The 17,250-nt window shown below is 35.4% G+C and overlaps 1 protein-coding gene across 8 annotated transcripts in view; it reads left to right on the top strand.

The window, feature by feature from the left end:
- The window catches only part of WASHC4 (WASH complex subunit 4), a 61,400-nt gene that overhangs the window by 18,663 nt on the left and 25,487 nt on the right, over nucleotides 1-17,250 (top strand). For 7 of the 8 annotated variants that reach the window (XR_007063060.1, NM_015275.3, XM_011538073.4 and 4 more), the window contains 8 exons: nucleotides 736-896; nucleotides 7,377-7,503; nucleotides 11,493-11,618; nucleotides 13,901-14,008; nucleotides 14,506-14,652; nucleotides 14,774-14,853; nucleotides 16,060-16,165; nucleotides 16,734-16,850. Coding sequence is in view for 7 of the 8 variants with exons in the window: in NM_015275.3 (NP_056090.1) it covers nucleotides 736-896; nucleotides 7,377-7,503; nucleotides 11,493-11,618; nucleotides 13,901-14,008; nucleotides 14,506-14,652; nucleotides 14,774-14,853; nucleotides 16,060-16,165; nucleotides 16,734-16,850 (972 nt within the window). In the remaining variant the exon portion in view is untranslated. Of the gene's footprint in view, nucleotides 1-735; nucleotides 897-7,376; nucleotides 7,507-11,492; nucleotides 11,619-13,900; nucleotides 14,009-14,505; nucleotides 14,653-14,773; nucleotides 14,854-16,059; nucleotides 16,166-16,733; nucleotides 16,851-17,250 lie in introns of all 8 variants that reach the window. The other variant, NM_001293640.2, reaches the window with a different exon arrangement.

Below are 17,250 nucleotides of genomic sequence, written 5' to 3' on the forward strand. Positions count from 1 at the left end.
GCAGATTAAAAAGATTGCAGATAAAACTAAATATTTTAAAATGCATTTTATTCCTGTTTACAAAAATAATTTAAAAGTATTCACTTGTAAAATTCAAGTATTCCAGAAATAAGTAACTTAGTGAATGAAAATACGTCGTATTTCTACATCATATTACTACATATTGGTAGATGGTGTTCAGATTTGTTCCTGTACAACTTCTCTTAGTGCTACTAATACTACTTTTTTCTTTTCCTTTTCTTTGCCACTGATTTTCATTACTGAAGATGAAGAAATTTAAAATATATTTCTTTCTATGTCTTTGCTATTTTCATAATGTGGTATCTGATTTCAAAATTGAAAGATTAGTTTGTGTGTAACATCAAGTGATAGTAACTATGATAACCCAGCCAATTTTTTAAAAAACTTATGTACTTAAATAGAATGAAACTAAAAGACATGAAGATTCAAGTTTCTATTGTTGCATTTTTTTATCTGACAGTCCATGAAAGGGTGTTTTGTGTGTGTGTTATTTAATATTCAGGTGAATAAAATTGTCATGCTCAACACCAGATGTAGAAATGCCTTAACTCTGCCACAGTGAAAGATATTTGTCTCATAATATATTAATAAGTATTTTTTGTGGTTATTTTTTCTTGAAATCAGTTGTCTTCCATGTGTATTATAGAACTTTTAAACAGCTTGTTGTTTAGCCTGCATTTAATGAATTTTCCCCTTTTCCCTTTTCTGTTTCAGGTACCAGCCATCACTCTAACTGCTAATATTATTTGGTTTCCTGATAATTTTCTGATCCAGAAAATACCAGCAGCTGCCAAACTGCTAGACAGAAAAAGTCTTCAAGCCATTAAAATACACAGGGATACTTTTCTACAACAGAAAGCTCAATCACTTACCAAGTAGGTTTTATAAACAAGTATAATGAAAATATTTAGATATCCTTTATTTTCAAAGATTATACTAACACTTAATGTATAGTACCATTTGAATTATAAGATTAAATGTACTTGATAAGTAAGGGTCAGGCAATCTCCAGGAGATTTGTTTTCTAGAAGTTTTTTGTAAAGAATATTTTACACTTAAAGTCAATTTAAGATGTAGACAGATTATACTTTATGGATACAAATGCGTACATACATAGTTTTTATCATCTGTGTTAAATATTTTTTGTCCAAATGAAGTCTCAGATTTTGTTGCAGTAGATATCATTTGATGACATTAAAAACATTCTGTGTCCATGGTGATTTTGGGAGAGGTTGAGTTTTTCTTGATGTGCTTCCTTTTTCCCCCTTCTTTTTATTTTTATGAAAATAGTATATGCATGTATATAAAACATCAAAAAGTGCTAAAGCTTAAAGGGAAAGATAATTCTTCCCAGTTCCTTCCTGTATTTCAGTCTTGCTCTCCAAAGGCACACTTTTAACTCTTTGTTTCTTCTTTTTTTTACATCCTTATTTTTTGTATACGTCCTTATTTTTTATCTCTTATTGTGTAAATTTTCAAATATACGTAAAGTAGAGAAAATAGTATAAAGAGCCCCTACGTTCCCATCACCCAGCTTCAACAATTAATTTATTGCACATTCTTTCTTGAGTACATGGCTAAAATCACGTTAACTTGGATAAAGCTTTTGAGTGAAATGACACAGGACTCTGCCACTAGCCCCATGCTGGTGACAGATTTTTGTTTGTGATATGGCTAAAGATGTAATGGGGATACTTACCTACTTTCTGTTGATTTTGACTATCAAAGGGAAGTTGGATCACTACTATACATTGGGGGAAGGAAGATCATGTCATTTTTAGTACTGCCATGTCCTCTGATTAAAGTGGAAAACTACAACAGATTTAGGCAGGTCTACTCATTTCAGAACTCTAGTAGATATCCTAAATCAGGGTTGAAGAGGGATTAAAAACAAATGTTTAGATTTAGATTAAAGAGCTGAATTAAGTAATACAAGATATATGTAGAGATTTATCTTTCCATTTGAGTAGCAGTAAGTGGGGAAAAATGTGTGTATTTTAGTTCTTAGAATGTTGATATTTTGTAACAGTGTGATGGAGTTACTCAAAATGCCAATACATACTTAGCTTACATTAATAACTCTAATACCCAGGTTGTGGAAACTAGTTAGTTATAGTACAGGTTGAGTATCCCTAATTGAAATGCTCCAATACTGGAAACTTTTTGAGTGCCATCGTAATGCCCAATGGAAATGCTCATTGGAGCATTTTGGATTTCAGATTAGGGATGCTGAACTGGTAAGTATATAATGCAAATATTCCAAGATCTGAAATACTTCTGGTCCCAACCATTTTGGATGAGGGGTACTCATCATGTATCTAGGTCATGGGAATTGATAGTTGCATTAAATTCCGTTTTGTTTTTTTTTTTGATTTTTTTTTAGAGACCGAGTCTCGCTCTGTTGCCCAGGCTGGAGTGCAGTGGTGTTATCTTGGCTCACTGTAACCTCTGTCTCCCAGATTCAAGCAGTTCTCCTACTTCAGCTCCCAAGTAGCTGGGACTACAGGTGCCTACCACCATGCCCAGCTACATTTTTTTTTTTTTTTTTTGAGACAGAGTCTCCCTGTGTCGCCCAGGCTGGAGTGCAGTGGTGTGATCTCGGCTCACTGCAACCTCCGCCTCCTGGGTTCATGTGATTTTCCTTCCTCAGCCTCCCGAGTAGCTGGGATTACAGGCACCCACCACCACGCCCGGCTAATTTTTGTATTTTTAGTAGAGACTGGGTTTCACCACGTCAGTCAGGCTGGTCTCGAACTCCTGACCTTGTGATCTGCCTGCTTCAGCCTCCCAAACTGCTGGGATTACAGGCGTGAGCCACCGCGCCAACGCCTGGCTAATTTTTGTATTTTTAGTAGAGACGAGGTTTCATTATGTTGGGCAGGCTGGTCTTGAACTCCTGACCTCAGGTGATCCGCCACCTCGGCCTTCCAAAGTGCTGGGATTATAGGCGTGAGCCATCACACCAGGCCTCTTTTTAAAATTGTTTTTATTTTTTATTTTTAAACTTTTAAGTTCAGGATACAAGTGCAGGTTTGTTACATAGGTAACCATGTGTCATGGGGGTTTGTTGTGCAGATTACTTCATAACCCAGGTATATTCCATGGAATTTTTATTGGTCAGATCATAGCTGGTGTTTGGTGGTGCCATGTTTTGAGAGGGTCACAAACTGCAGCATCCCTAGATGCAGCTGATCAGGATGTCAGAAGGTCTGAGAACCATGCCTTCTTGTTTGTCTTCTCTTTGTTAGTGTCTGTATAGTTTGGCCTTTAAAAGAGAAATCTGTGGAATGATGTGGTGGGTTTCTTTAAATATTTGAGGGACATTCAGAATGAAGAGGGAACAGATTTGATCTCTGTGGCTCCAGTAGGCTAAACTAAAACCAAAAGGTGAAGATGACAGATAGTAATGATAATAATTGCCAACATCATGAAGCTCTCAACTCTATGGCAGGCATTATGCTAATAGCTTTAAACATACCATGTTCCATAAAGCATGTAACAGCCTTCCGGCAGAAAATAATAAATGTAACAATTAATGTTTATGGAGTGCTTACTATATGCTAGTAGGTATTCCAGGAACTTGACACATACCTCCTGTAATGATCAGAAAATTGTATGAGGTAGATACTTTTGTTGCCATTTTGTAGATGAGAAAACCCTACAGAGATTAAACTTGCCCAAGTTTAAACAACTAGTAGGTGGCAGATGCAGGCAGTTCAACTCTACAGCCCAGGCTGTTAACTACTACTATAAACCATTTTTATCCCATTTTTAGATAAAATGAGTCTTAGAGAAATGAACTTTGCCAGGTCACACAGCTAAGTACATGTCAGAGAGGGCATTCAAACCAGTGCCAATCCTATTCTGGTGCCTCTGCAGCAGGTAGCATTGTGTAGGCTGCTCTGTAGTCTCCTTCACTAAAGCTGTGTAGGCAGAATATAGATAACTGTCAGTCCAAGATCTGTGGGAAGTGAGTCTTACTAAGTGGACAGTTGAATAAGTTGACTTTCAAAGACTTATCACATGATGAGATTTTGTTTCTAAATTCTTTACTACAGAGCTCCATGAAGATGAAGGGCACAGTTATTTTTTTCAGTCTCTTAGCAGTTATGTCAAGGAAACCTAAAATTCACTCCACTAAAGTGAAACTCAGAGGGATGATGTGATCAGCAGGGCTTTGTCCTGACATTTTAGAGAAAGTTGAGGGGTTGTCTAAGAGGTGTCCCAAGGTCAGGCTTCAGAGTTTATGTAAGTGAGTAGGGAGCAATGGAGAGCAATGAGCAACAGTATTCCTGCCCCCATACTATACACCAGACCCCAAGTGGCCAGTGTCCCAGCTGCCTCCTTGACTGGGGTCCAAGGTTTGTGGATTTTTGCATTTTGCTTTTGATTCACAACCACTTTAACACTGGAAAATACTGCCTTTAGAGGACAGAGGTCTGAATCTTTGTTTCAACCCCCCATGTTGACATATAGGCGTTGACACTGTTTAGTGCTTTATGTTGGGGCAGGAGATTTGTTTTTTTACCTTGGTATTTTTCCTGTTTGTACTTTGAAATGCAACTGACAATCCAATAGGACACTTCACGATTTTTGTACTCTTTGTCAGTTAACTTGCTTTTTAAAACTTGAAGCAGTTTTGTTTTTATATATTTATTTATTTATTTATTTTTTTTTTTTTTTGAGACGGAGTCTCGCTCTGTCTCCCAGGTTGGACTGCGGACTGCAGTGGCGCAATCTCGGCTCACTGCAAGCTCCGCTTCCCGGGTTCACGCCATTCTCCTGCCTCAGCCTCCCGAGTAGCTGGGACTACAGGCGCCCGCCACCGCGCCCGGCTAATTTTTTGTATTTTTAGTAGAGACGGGGTTTCACCTTGTTAGCCAGGATGGTCTCGATCTCCTGACCTCATGATCCACCCGCCTCGGCCTCCCAAAGTGCTGGGATTACAGGCGTGAGCCACCGCGCCCGGCCTGTTTTTATATATTTATAAGAGGTAAAGATCATCAGTCATCTGGATGTGATCACAGAGTGATGGGCAGAAGTGACATAAAAGCCTCTGCATTATCCTATAGCCTTACCTAAAGCTGGCTGAATGCTGTTCACTGTGTATTATTGCCTTCTTCATAGTGTTATTGACACAGTTGCTCATCAGGGAGAGTTCCATAGTCTAGCCTAGGTCTCTTTCTGTGGTCCTTGCTTATGACTTTTCTGTTCTCTCCTGTACATGGGATTCCTGCTGAGTCTTGATCACAACCTCCTCCTCAAAAGTGAAGGTGTTGCTCTAGGACTGTGCTGTCTGTTTTTAAAAAAGGACCAGGCTTTTAAAAAAGGAATCATTCATAAGTCAAACAGTATGTTTCAGCACCACTCTAAGCAAAGCCACAAAGTATGACTATTTGTGTTTTTCGTCTAATGGAATTATGGCTCTGTAGAAACTGTTTTTCTCAGATTTTGTGCTAGGGTTTCACCTCCCTGAGTCACATTTATTAGAGATTTTGACAGGATCCTTCTTTAGATTGAAATCTTGAGATTGACAGTTTGCCCAGCAATATGGCTAGCTGCTGACCTCAGTGTGGGATTCTAAACGTAATTGAGTGTCTTCAGTTCCTTGCCCTGAAGAGCTATCCTTTAGCTGATTCTGACCTGTAAGAATGGGACATTTCTTTACCCTGTGTAACTAAAGAAGATTTTAAAAGAGTTGGTAGGGTCCGATTCCATAAAGGAGAATTGCCCATTTTTGCATACTAAGTTTTTGTTTGTTTGTTTGTTTTTGAGACGGAGTCTCGCTCTGTCGCCCAGGCTGGAGTGCAGTGGCGTGATCTTAGCTCACTGCAATCTCTTCCGCCTCCCGGGTTTAAGCAATTCTCTTGCCTCAGCCTCCGGAGTAGCTGAGACTACAAGCGTGTGCCACCACACCCAGCTAATTTTTGTATTTTTAGTAGAGATGGGGTTTCACCATGTTGGCGAGGCTGGTCACAAACTGCTGACCTCAGGCAATCTGCCTGCCTCGGCCTCCCGAAGTGCTGGGATTACAGGTGTGAGCCACCATGCCCGGCCACATACTAAGTTTTTTAAAGAAAAGTATAGCTTAAACAGCTTGTGAATGTAAAAAGGTTCCCATCTGGAATGAGACTGAGTTGGGAAACATTGATGGAGAGATTTAGTATTTGTAATCATCCCGAATAGTAGAGAGAATTACATTTTGTATTGCCCTAGTCTTTCTGGGAGGGGAAAGCTTCCTGGATGTGAGCTTGAATCTTGGCTGAACTTATGATCTTGCTGCCTACTTAACTTCTCTGTGTAGCAGTTTCTTGTTCTGTTTGGAGGTTGTAGTACCTGCCTCATAAAGTTAATGTGAGGGGTGAAAGAGGTAGTGTGTGTGTGTGTGTGTGTGTGTGTGTGTGTGTGTGTGTGTGTAAAGTGCTTGGAATGGTACCTGTCATGTAGTAAGCATTCAATAACTATTAGCTTTTATAGTCCGATTCTGACCACTTCCACTGTTCCTATTCTGGTTCAGGCTGTCATCCTCTTTCTTCTGCATTATTACAGTAGCTTTTAGGTGGTTTTCCTGCTTTTACCATTGCCTCCTCTGTAGTTTATTTTCAACTCATCAGATCCTCTTGAAACTAAACTTAGATCAAGTTACTTTGCTCAGATCCTCTAGTGGCTTTCTGTCTCTCTGAGTCAAAATCCCTACTCCTTGTAAGGCCTTCCACAAATCCCTTCCCCATCACCCCACTCCCTCCCTCTGTATCTCGCTCATCTAATCCCTGCTCACAGTGCTTCAGGTATACTGACTTTTTTGTTATTACCTGAACAAGCCAGACACATTTCCAAATGTCTTAGGATTTTGCGTTTGTCTTTCACTTTTCTGCACTTCTCGTATATTTGCATGAATTACTCATTCATCTGCTTCAAACTTTGGCTCAAAATCACCTACTCAATGAGCCTACTTTGATCATGCTATATAAAATTGTACCTCCACCCCAGTCCTTATCCTTTTTCCCCTGCTTTTATTTCTTCTGTAGTATGTATCTTTTAATTAATTTAAAATTTTACTTACTGATTTCATTATTATACAGCTCTCCTTTCTAGAATGTAAGCATCATGGGAGGAGGGATTTGTATTCATTTTATTTACTGCTGATTTCACTGTTGTATTCTCAGTACCTGTACTGAGAAACAGTACCTGGGATGTTTGTTGAATGAGTAAATTATATATGTCTATGTAATATTTATCTTTTGAAAACCAGAAAGATGAAATGACTGCTGCAGGGAAATAATGTACTGCAATCAGTATCAAGAAATGGAAGTAAATTTTCTTTGCTGAGTAACCCCAATATTTTCCTTTGTTAGAGATGTACAGTCTTACTACGTCTTTGTGAGCTCATGGATGATGAAAATGGAATCTATTTTGTCTAAAGAGCAGAGAATGGATAAATTTGCTGAAGATCTCACCAATAGATGTAATGTTTTTATACAGGTAGTTGCATCTTATTTCGGGGAATCATTTTTTTGTTAATCCAACTTACAGAAGTTAAACTTTGAAAAAACTGAACAAAGGGTAGAGTATGTTTTTGTTTATTAAAGCAAGTTGATTTGGTTATGTTGGGATCTGTGTGACTTATTAATTTAAATTTTCTAACAACCCATTCAAAGCTCTATATTCCTTTACAACTTGACTATTTAGCTGTATCGTAGAAGTTTTGATATGTTGTATTTTTACTGTCATTTATTTCAAACTATTTAAATTTTTATTATAACTGTGGGCTTTTTGAAAGATTTCCTTATTTTGAAATATATGAGGATTTTCTAGTTATTTTATTATTGAGTTGTAGCAATAATTAAATAATTTTAGTATTTTGAAATTTGCTTTATGGCCTAGCCCATGGTCAACTTTGGTAAACATTTCACGTCTACTTGAAAAGAATGTATAATTTGTATTTGTCAGTTGTAGCATTTTGTATATGACAAGAGGGTCATACTGATTAATGATATTGTCTGGGTATTTCAGATACTGAGAGTCATGTTAGAATTTCCCACTATTGTGGATTTGTCTGTTTATCCTTGTTCTGTAGTTTTTGTTTTGTGTATTTTTAGGCTAAGTATATAATGTTTAGAATTGTTCTGTCTTCCTAGTAAATTAGACCTTTTCTTGTTAAGAAATATTCCTTGTTATCTCTAGTAATGCTTTTTGTTGTAGGTCTCTTTCGTGTGATATTAACTATAACTGTTTTCTTTTAATTAATGTCTGCATGGTATTATCTTTTTTGATCCTTTCACTTGTGGCCTTCCTGGCTCCTTATAGTTAATGTGTGTCTTCCGTAAGTAACGTATATTTTTCTCCTATCTGATAATCTTTGTTTTTTTTTCTTCATAGTACTATTTTTTCTATATGTCATTGTTGATATATTTGGTTTTAAACTACCACCTGACTAGTTGCTTTGTATTTGTCTCACTTGTTCTGTGTCCCTTTTCTTTTCCTCTCTCGCTCTTTTTTGGAGTATTTTTAATTTTATTTCTCCTCCTCTCTATTAGTTTAATTCTATATTATTTTATTGTTCTTTTAGCGGTCACTCTAGACATTTTAAGATGTATCGTTTGCTCATTTAGCTCTAATGTATGTTAGTAGTTTTACCACTTTCCTGACGGTATAAGGATCTTAAACAGCTTTAGTTCTATTTATCTCCCTCTCATCTTCTGTGCTGTTGTTGTGTACTTTGAGTTCCTCTGTATTTTAAACCTCACAAGGCATTATTATCGCTATTGTTGTTTTTATAGTCAGCGTTTATTTAGATTTACTCATATTTACCTGTTCTGTTGCTTTTTATTCTTCCTACATCTCTTAATTTTCATCTTTCTACTTGGGGAATACCTGCTAGTATTTCATTAATACAAGTCTCTGTTGATGAATTGTAATAGTTTTTGGTCTGAATATGTCTTCATTTCAATCATTTTGCTGTGTTAGAATTCTAGGTTGGTGGGGTTTTTTTTTTTCTTCTAGCTTTTAAAGGTGTCATTTTATGGTCTTCTGGCTTCCTTTGTTTTTGTTAAGAAGTCAACTGTAGGTTTGTTGCTTCTAAAATATGTATCTTTCTTTACTTTTTGGCTTTTAGCAGTGTTCCTACAATGCCCCTAGGTGTGGTTTTCTTTGTGTGTTTGTGCTACTTTGGGGTCAGTAGAGCTTCTTGAATTCATGCAATATTCTTTACCATTAACTCTTCGAGCATTATTTCTTTTCTGTTTCCTCTGTTCTAATTCTCTCTTCATCTGTCTCTAATCAATTCATCTACTGAGTTTTAAATTTTAATAATTTTACTTTTTAGCTGGCTTTTTTATAGTTTACAGTTCTCTTCTGAGATACTTGATTTTGTGTTTTATTTTCTTCAACACATTCAGCTTATTTTGAAGCACATGTCTAATAATTTCATTATTTGGGTATTTGTCTTATCTGTTGTTTCTCTTGTTTTTGTACATCTCTTACCTTTTATATACCCAGTTATTTTTTATAGAGTGCCACACATTATATATGAAAAGCTGTAGACGTAATTTGAGGATCTGGATATTTTCTTCCTCCAGAAGGGATTTGTATTTGTATTTGTATTTGCTTTTGTACACAGCTAGTCTAGGACGGTTAGCAACCCAGGTTATATCAATCTAGTAGGTTGATCAAGATGATTTGAAGCAGGATTTTGATCCTGTGATGGTTGTTTAATTCACCCTTACTTTTTTGGGGGGTTATCCTTCAGGATGCCAACTCAGAACTTAGGTGGTTTATGAAAACCAGCTCCGATGAGCCCCAAGCTCCTGTTTTTATTTCCCTTCCCTGTGAGATGTTGTTGAAAGGTATGTTTGGCTTTTGTCTTTAAGGCAGATGATTTAAGAGAAAGCAACCCTGAATGCCAGGATCACTTCTCTGAGTTTCTGTCTTCCAGATCTTGGCCTTATATTTCCTTATTTATTTGAATCCTCTTTGATGCCTTATGAGGCATTTTTAAACCGTTTTGCCCATATATTCTAGTTGTTCTCAGTGGGAAGGCTGATCTAAATTATTTATTCTATCATTAACTAATACAGACTCCAGACTACCCTCTCCCTCACAATTTAGATTTCAAAATACATCCCTTCACAAATTAATGGTTATCTGGGAATGAGCTAATATGGGCCCTGGAGTTCTGAACTTCAAGTACCCCTAAAAAAGGGAAGCCTCCTTTTTCTGCCTGACTTAGAGTTAGATCTTTGCTGTTCCTTGTTTGTGCTTTTTAATTTTTCCCAGGGCTGCACTAGAGTAGGGTCTGATGTAATAGTCTTGCAGCTGACAAGGTAAGACTGTGGCTCTTTCTGCATGTATGTGCCAAGCTTTGGTCTTACGGTCACCTTTCTTAGGATGCTATCCTCTCTTTGATTTTTTCATTTTCTTAATTTAGCATGTCTCTTCGCCACAGAGAAACTTTGTGTGTGGTTCAGAGGAACTCCTACTTTGCGCTGAGTATCATTCCTTTAGTGAGCCACTGTTTCCGATGGGAGAATACTTTCTTTCACATGTGGTGGGACAGGAGCAAAAGTTTGAGGAACATTGGCATATATCTTCTGCCCCACCTCCATAATGTATCTACAATAACATAGTTAAGGTTCCTTGCTAAACTGTACATGTGTCTCTTTTGGGAACTTTATAGACCCAAAGAATCTCCATCATTATCTTTGTGTTTTTCTGTGTGTCCCTTTTGGGTTTAAATGAAAAAGTGTTTGAGAAGCAATATCCCTTTTTTCCTTTATTCCACTGTTTCACTGAGTTTAATAGCATTAAAAGAATTTTAACACCTCACAAGACCTGGCTTCCTTCATGAATAGAAGGGGAGGGAGAATCTGTTCTCATTGGGCTGGAAGGAGAGAAAGCCTAATGCAGCACCAAACTAGGCAAGGATGAGATAGCAGATGGACTGTGGGGATTGGTCTAGGTGAATAGGAAAGGGGGACTTGGCTTGGAACTCAAAAATTTCTTTGCCTATCTGTATTGACTGAAGAACAGCCCTCTTTCTCCTTATTTTTCAATTTGTAACTCCTCAGAGTCCTCAGCTCTTGCCTTAAGTGGCAACAGATAGGAGTCTTTATTCTCTTCCCTGGCAGGTAAGATAAGGATGAATAGATACCTTTCTAACATTCAAATTGTTTCACTCAAAGCTTTTTTAAGGGAAAGATTCTTAAGCTGTAATTATACACTATTATTTTGACAGTACAAAACTTCTGGTATGTGACAGGATAAATAAACGGTTAGGGCTGCTTTGAAACTTAACCACCATGTATAACATTGTCTCTGTGAGGAAGAGTATTTCCAAATCTTAAGAGCTGGCTTTAAGATGAACTTTAGAAACATTAGTTATTGGTAAGTTGAGGAATAGCTGCTGTTAAATAGATAATGAAATCTTGAAGAAAATCTTTCCTTGTGATTATAATCAATGTTTTCCTTTACAGGGCTTCTTGTATGCATATAGTATTAGTACCATTATTAAAACCACAATGAATCTCTACATGTCCATGCAAAAGCCAATGACCAAAACCTCAGTTAAGGCATTGTGCAGGCTTGTTGAACTTCTCAAGGTAGGTTTTAGATTATTTTACTGCTCCATCATAATTGAGAAATGACCCAGGCTTAAATTAGGATAATCTTGTAAGGTTTGACTACATGATTATATGAGAACAGAAAATTGTGAGAAAGTACTTCTCTCTCAATTGAATAAAGGAACTAGCCATTTAAATAAATTTCTGAGTAACTACTTATGGCTGGTCATTATATTTAAACTTTATTAAATAAAGTTAATATATCCAGTTTACACAGTAAAAAAAAAAGTTAATGTAGTGAGAGAGAAAAGAAAGAAAATGGAAAAGTTAACTTTAATATTATCAGTAAAGCTTTACTCTTGGAAGTTTTAAAAAGGTTGCATGAGTTAAAAAAAAAAAAAACAGCTTGTCTACCATTATCCATTATAGTGTTTACATGCGTATGAGGTTAGTTAACATAAGGCTATTTATTTTGTAATTTAGATGAAGTGCTGTAATCTTGTGATTTGAACAGTGGACTACTTACAGAGGTGGTCAAATGAATTAAGAATTACAGTGCACTTATGCAAGTATGGTAACGTGTTTCTTAGCTTACTTCTGTATTAAAGAAAAAACCTGTAGGCAGGAAAGTCCAGTTAACCTTTTGTAAAAATTGAAATTAAGATTTGCTGGTAAATTTTCTCCTAATAATTGACTAGATTTGTTCAGGAAATAAAGATTTTTCTTTTGGAGATTCTGCCTTTGGATTTTCAGCCTTTTTTTCTTTGTATGATTTGTTTATAGATATTTTATGTTAGATTTATTTTTTATGAACTATAAATACAGACAAGTATATGTGTATGTTAGAATATGTATAAATATGTAATACATAAGCATGGTTTTAAAAATAATAACCACTGTCCCACTTAAGAAATACCCACTGTCCCACTTAAGAAATAGAATGTTACCAATATTTTCAAATGCTGTGTTTTTTCCTAATTGCATCTCAACCTGTCCACCTCAGAGGAAACTACTGTCCTGAATTTTATGTTTATCATTCTCTTGTTTTTCTTTTTAGCTTGCCAAATATGGATGAATCAATAAAGCATTAATCGTTATATATGTTTTTGAAGTTTATATTAGTGGAGCAGTATTTTATGTATTTTTTGATCCATTTTTTTATTCAACATTTTGTTTTTTACTCAGCATTTTGTATTTGAGGGTATCCATGTTGGGATGAGTAGCACATCTATTTTCATTGTTGTGTAGTGGATAGACTTCGGGTTGTTTCCGGTTTTTGTATCATAAACAATGTTGCCATCCTTGTATGTGTTTCTTGGTGTACTTGTGCAGGAGTTTTTGTAAGGAATTATATACCTAAAGTTGGTTACTGGATTATGTGTTACGTATATGTTCACCTTTTCAAGATGATGTCACATTGTCTCTATAGACAGACTATATATATGTGTGTGTGTATATATATATATATATATATATATATATATATGCCTCCCACAATACATTAGAAAATTACATTAGAAATAAAATTGTATTTCCAATTGACCAACACTGGTATTATCGAGCTTCATTTTTTAAAATAAATTAGTGGGTATAATTGGTTTTATGATTTTTAATATTTAACCCCTGATTGTTAGTGATGGTAAATATCCTTTCAATTATTTATTAACTATGTTTCTTCTTTTGTGAAAAATCTGTTCATGTCTTTTCCATTTTTTTTATTGGATTGTGTGCCTTTAAAAAACAAAATCTTTCATTCATTTTGGGTCTTCTTATATCCTGAACATTAGTCACTTGTACCTGGTAGATATTTTGTGATACATCGGCTTGCCTTTTTATTTTCTTTATAGAGACTTTTGATGAACAGAAGTGCTTAGTTTTAGTATAGTTGAATTTATCAGTTCTATACTTTGTAAGTTTTTTTTTTTTTTTGAGACGGAGTCTTGCTCAGTTGCCCAGGCTGGAGTGCAGTGGCGCCATCTCGGCTCACCTCAACCTCCGCCTCCCAGGTTCAAGCGATTCTGCCTCAGCTACAGGAACTACAGGTGTGCGCCACCATGCCCGGCTAATTTTTGTATTTTTTAGTAGAGACAGGGTTTCACTATGTTGGCCAGGCTGGTCTCGAACTCCTGACCTGGTGATCCACCTGCCTCGACCTCCCAAAGTGCTGGGATTACAGGCGTGAGCCACCACGCCAGGACTGTAAGGTTTTTTTGTATCTCATTTACAAATCCCTTCCCTAGCCTAAGGTCGTAAAGATCTTCTATAATTTTGCCTGAAATTTTTAAGTTGATTGTCAGAAAATTATTTCTGATTCTTTTTAGGCAATAGAGCATATGTTCTACAGGAGAAGCATGGTTGTGGCTGATTCAGTTTCACATATAACACAGCACCTTCAACATCAGGCTCTTCATTCTATTTCTGTGGCCAAGGTATGCAGCTTATTATGTATTTAGCATAAGTATGTTATCTTTTTTGTTTGTTCTTTCATTGTTTTATATGTGTTTTCTGGTTTAACCTGTTTATTCCATTCCTTCAAACATAATATGCTCGGTTATTTATCTCCATAGTATTTTACAATTTTTACTTCAAGTTATTGGCATTATCTTTACTGTGAAATTGCAGCATGTAATACATTAATACACTTCTAAAAAGACATTGCACTTTTGAAATTGATGCATCATTTAAAAAATGATTTCTTAGTAAATTAACATGGAAATTTTAAAGTATGCCTAATACATTTGCTGTTTCTGACAGTACTAAGGGATCATATTACAGAAGTAAAGTATAAATGTCAGAAGCTTAAATGGGGAAAGTATTTGTGTATGCTCTCTTAAATTGAATCATGGAAAAGATAATCAAGAAGTTTTTCTTCTGAGTCTTTTGTTACTGCCTCAGAAACAAATAGTTTTCCTGTTTTATTTTTAAGAAAAGAGTGATTTCTGACAAAAAATACAGCGAACAGCGTCTTGATGTGCTCTCTGCTCTAGTTTTGGCTGAAAACACTCTAAATGGACCAAGCACAAAGCAACGGCGACTTATTGTTTCTTTGGCACTAAGTGTTGGCACACAAATGGTAAGTGTATTGCTATTACTTATGGAACAGAAATGAGATCTGAGATTTCACAGTTCCCTTGTTACTGACCCTAGAAACCTTTGACTGCAACTTCTCTGCCTTTTTTTCCTGTCCCTGATAGAAAACATTTAAAGATGAAGAACTCTTTCCACTTCAAGTAGTCATGAAAAAACTGGATCTTATTAGTGAACTTAGAGAACGGTAAGTAGGACTGGGATATGCTGTGGTACTCCAAAGACAGGGTTAATAGAAACATTGATTTTCTTTTTAGCATAGCAAGAGAAGAAATAAAATTCAGATCGAGCATTAGTTCCTTTCTGTAACTTCTTTAGCATGACCAAAATGAGATTGTGACTAGGGATCATATTTATTTAGCTTTGCTTCTACAGGAAGCATGTAGCCCCTAGAAAAACTCACATGAGAAAAAGCAGTGCAACCTCAGAGCATCTGGCCGACTTTGATGCATATCGTGATTATTATGTTGGGTATCTTTATTGGACTTAAATTGCTGTATTATAACAGGGCTTCCTCTATTTGTGTGAGACTTAGCAATCCATGATACGTAGTGTTCTATGATTTTATTTTAAGACACGAATTTGAATTAACATTGTTGAATTAGTTTTTGGAAGGCTTATTTTTGTAGCTCCTTCTGGCTTTCTTGTTTTCTTTTTGTTGAGTAAGCGTAAATTTCTTGAAGGGAAATTTGAATTTTGGTTTCCAGCTGAATTAAGGTTACAGCACAATTTCCATTTAGTATTCATATTTATAACTTACTTTTTTGTTGTTCTGGAGAAGCTGACATTTTTCTTGTTATTGGCATTTAATTTTCCACTCTTGGAAGAAATATTGAGCCTTTTTCATTATAAGATAGTTAATGATCATTCTGTTGCCCTTTAAGGTGTGAAATAGTCACTTGGCAAAGATTGTAGACATGTTAAGTGTGGGTTTTTTTTTGGGGCGGGGGGGGTCACAATTTTTTTTTTTTAAAAGATTTTTCTTTCCAACTTAGAGTCAGGGAAAATGGAGCATGTGATGCAAGTATTTAAGTCTAGTCATAGCAAATAATATTGAAAATGAGTTTGTTTTTATTTACCAAAACCAAAAATGGTCAATAAATGTTTATTTTAAACTCTGATATTTGAATATTATGCATATCATTTTTCAAGTATGGTTTACAAAAGCATATGTGCAGAATTCTGACAATGTCAGGCATTGGAGTGTTTGTTACCTTTGTTTCATTTTGATAGTATTTCTTTTGTGACTTTTCTATACTATGTTGGGTTAAGTGATGTAGGGAATGCGAACTGTGTAAGATGGAACTCTTCCTTCTGTAGTAGATGTCATTCCTTTCATATTGTTTTGGGATTCTTCAGTTTTGGTGTGACTGATTACTACTTTACATTGTAGAGTCCAAACACAATGTGACTGTTGTTTTTTATACTGGCATCGAGCTGTCTTCCCAATTTATTTAGATGATGTATATGAAAATGCTGTTGATGCAGCCAGATTACATGTAAGTAAAGAACAATATAAAGAATAATTCTATCATTTTAAAAGTCACTGTGTAAACCGTTTTAGTTTAAAATAGATCATTTGATTTAATAAACTTTTAAAATTGACTGTTTTGTAAACTGCATATTCATAAAGTGTTTATAGTCTGTAGTTAAATTTTATGTTACTGTTAACGAAGTTAATTTATTTAATTTCTTCCTTCATGTTCCTAATCATTTTCATTTCACTTAATTTTAGTTTATGTCATAGTAATCTGACATTTACTCATCAGCAAATTACAATGCAAAAGAAAAAATATTTTTAAGAAATATTCATATTTTTCTTTATGGAAATAAGTGTGTTTAAATGCACAAGATAGGAAAGGACTAGCGAATGTGATTTTTTTTGGGTATATTTAGTTAAAGTATATGCTTTAGGTTCTTTTTCTTTAGGAAAGTTAAGACAGTTGTGGAAAATCATTTTTCCTTCAGATCGAGGTTTTGTCTTTCAAGATAATTAACTTTTGCAGTATTGTTTAGATTAGAGACCTGGTTTTTCTAAATTCATGTACATTTTAATTTTCTTCTTAGTACATGTTCAGTGCTTTGCGCGACTGTGTACCTGCTATGATGCATGCAAGGCATTTAGAGTCCTATGAGATACTTCTGGATTGCTATGACAAGGAAATTATGGAAATTTTAAATGAGGTAACATCATATTTGAGATTGAAAAGCTTAAAACATGTTTGGAATGTAGTGTTTGGAAAAAAAATGTTCGATTGAAGCAGACTCACTGAGTTAAAATTATTTATAAATTGCTGGGTAGAACAAAGAACTATTTTTAGTTACAATATCACTGTTGTGCTAATTGGTCTGTAATTCATTTATTTAGAAATCACACTAGGAATTAGGAGATTTTAAATTTACTTTTGTAAATAGATATTTTAATTTAAAGTTGTTTATTAGAAGAATGCAAATGTGAAATGGTTTTGAATGTTGAAAGCTGCTAATGGTCCAGTTAAAGCAACTTAACCATTAATATTTTACTGAATTTTATTTGCAGAGCTCCTGAGAGAAGGAAATTATATATTTAAAAGATTTAGTGTGT

This window comes from Homo sapiens, chromosome 12 (assembly GCF_000001405.40).
Source record: "Homo sapiens chromosome 12, GRCh38.p14 Primary Assembly".
Classification (NCBI taxonomy): Eukaryota; Metazoa; Chordata; class Mammalia; order Primates; family Hominidae; genus Homo; species Homo sapiens.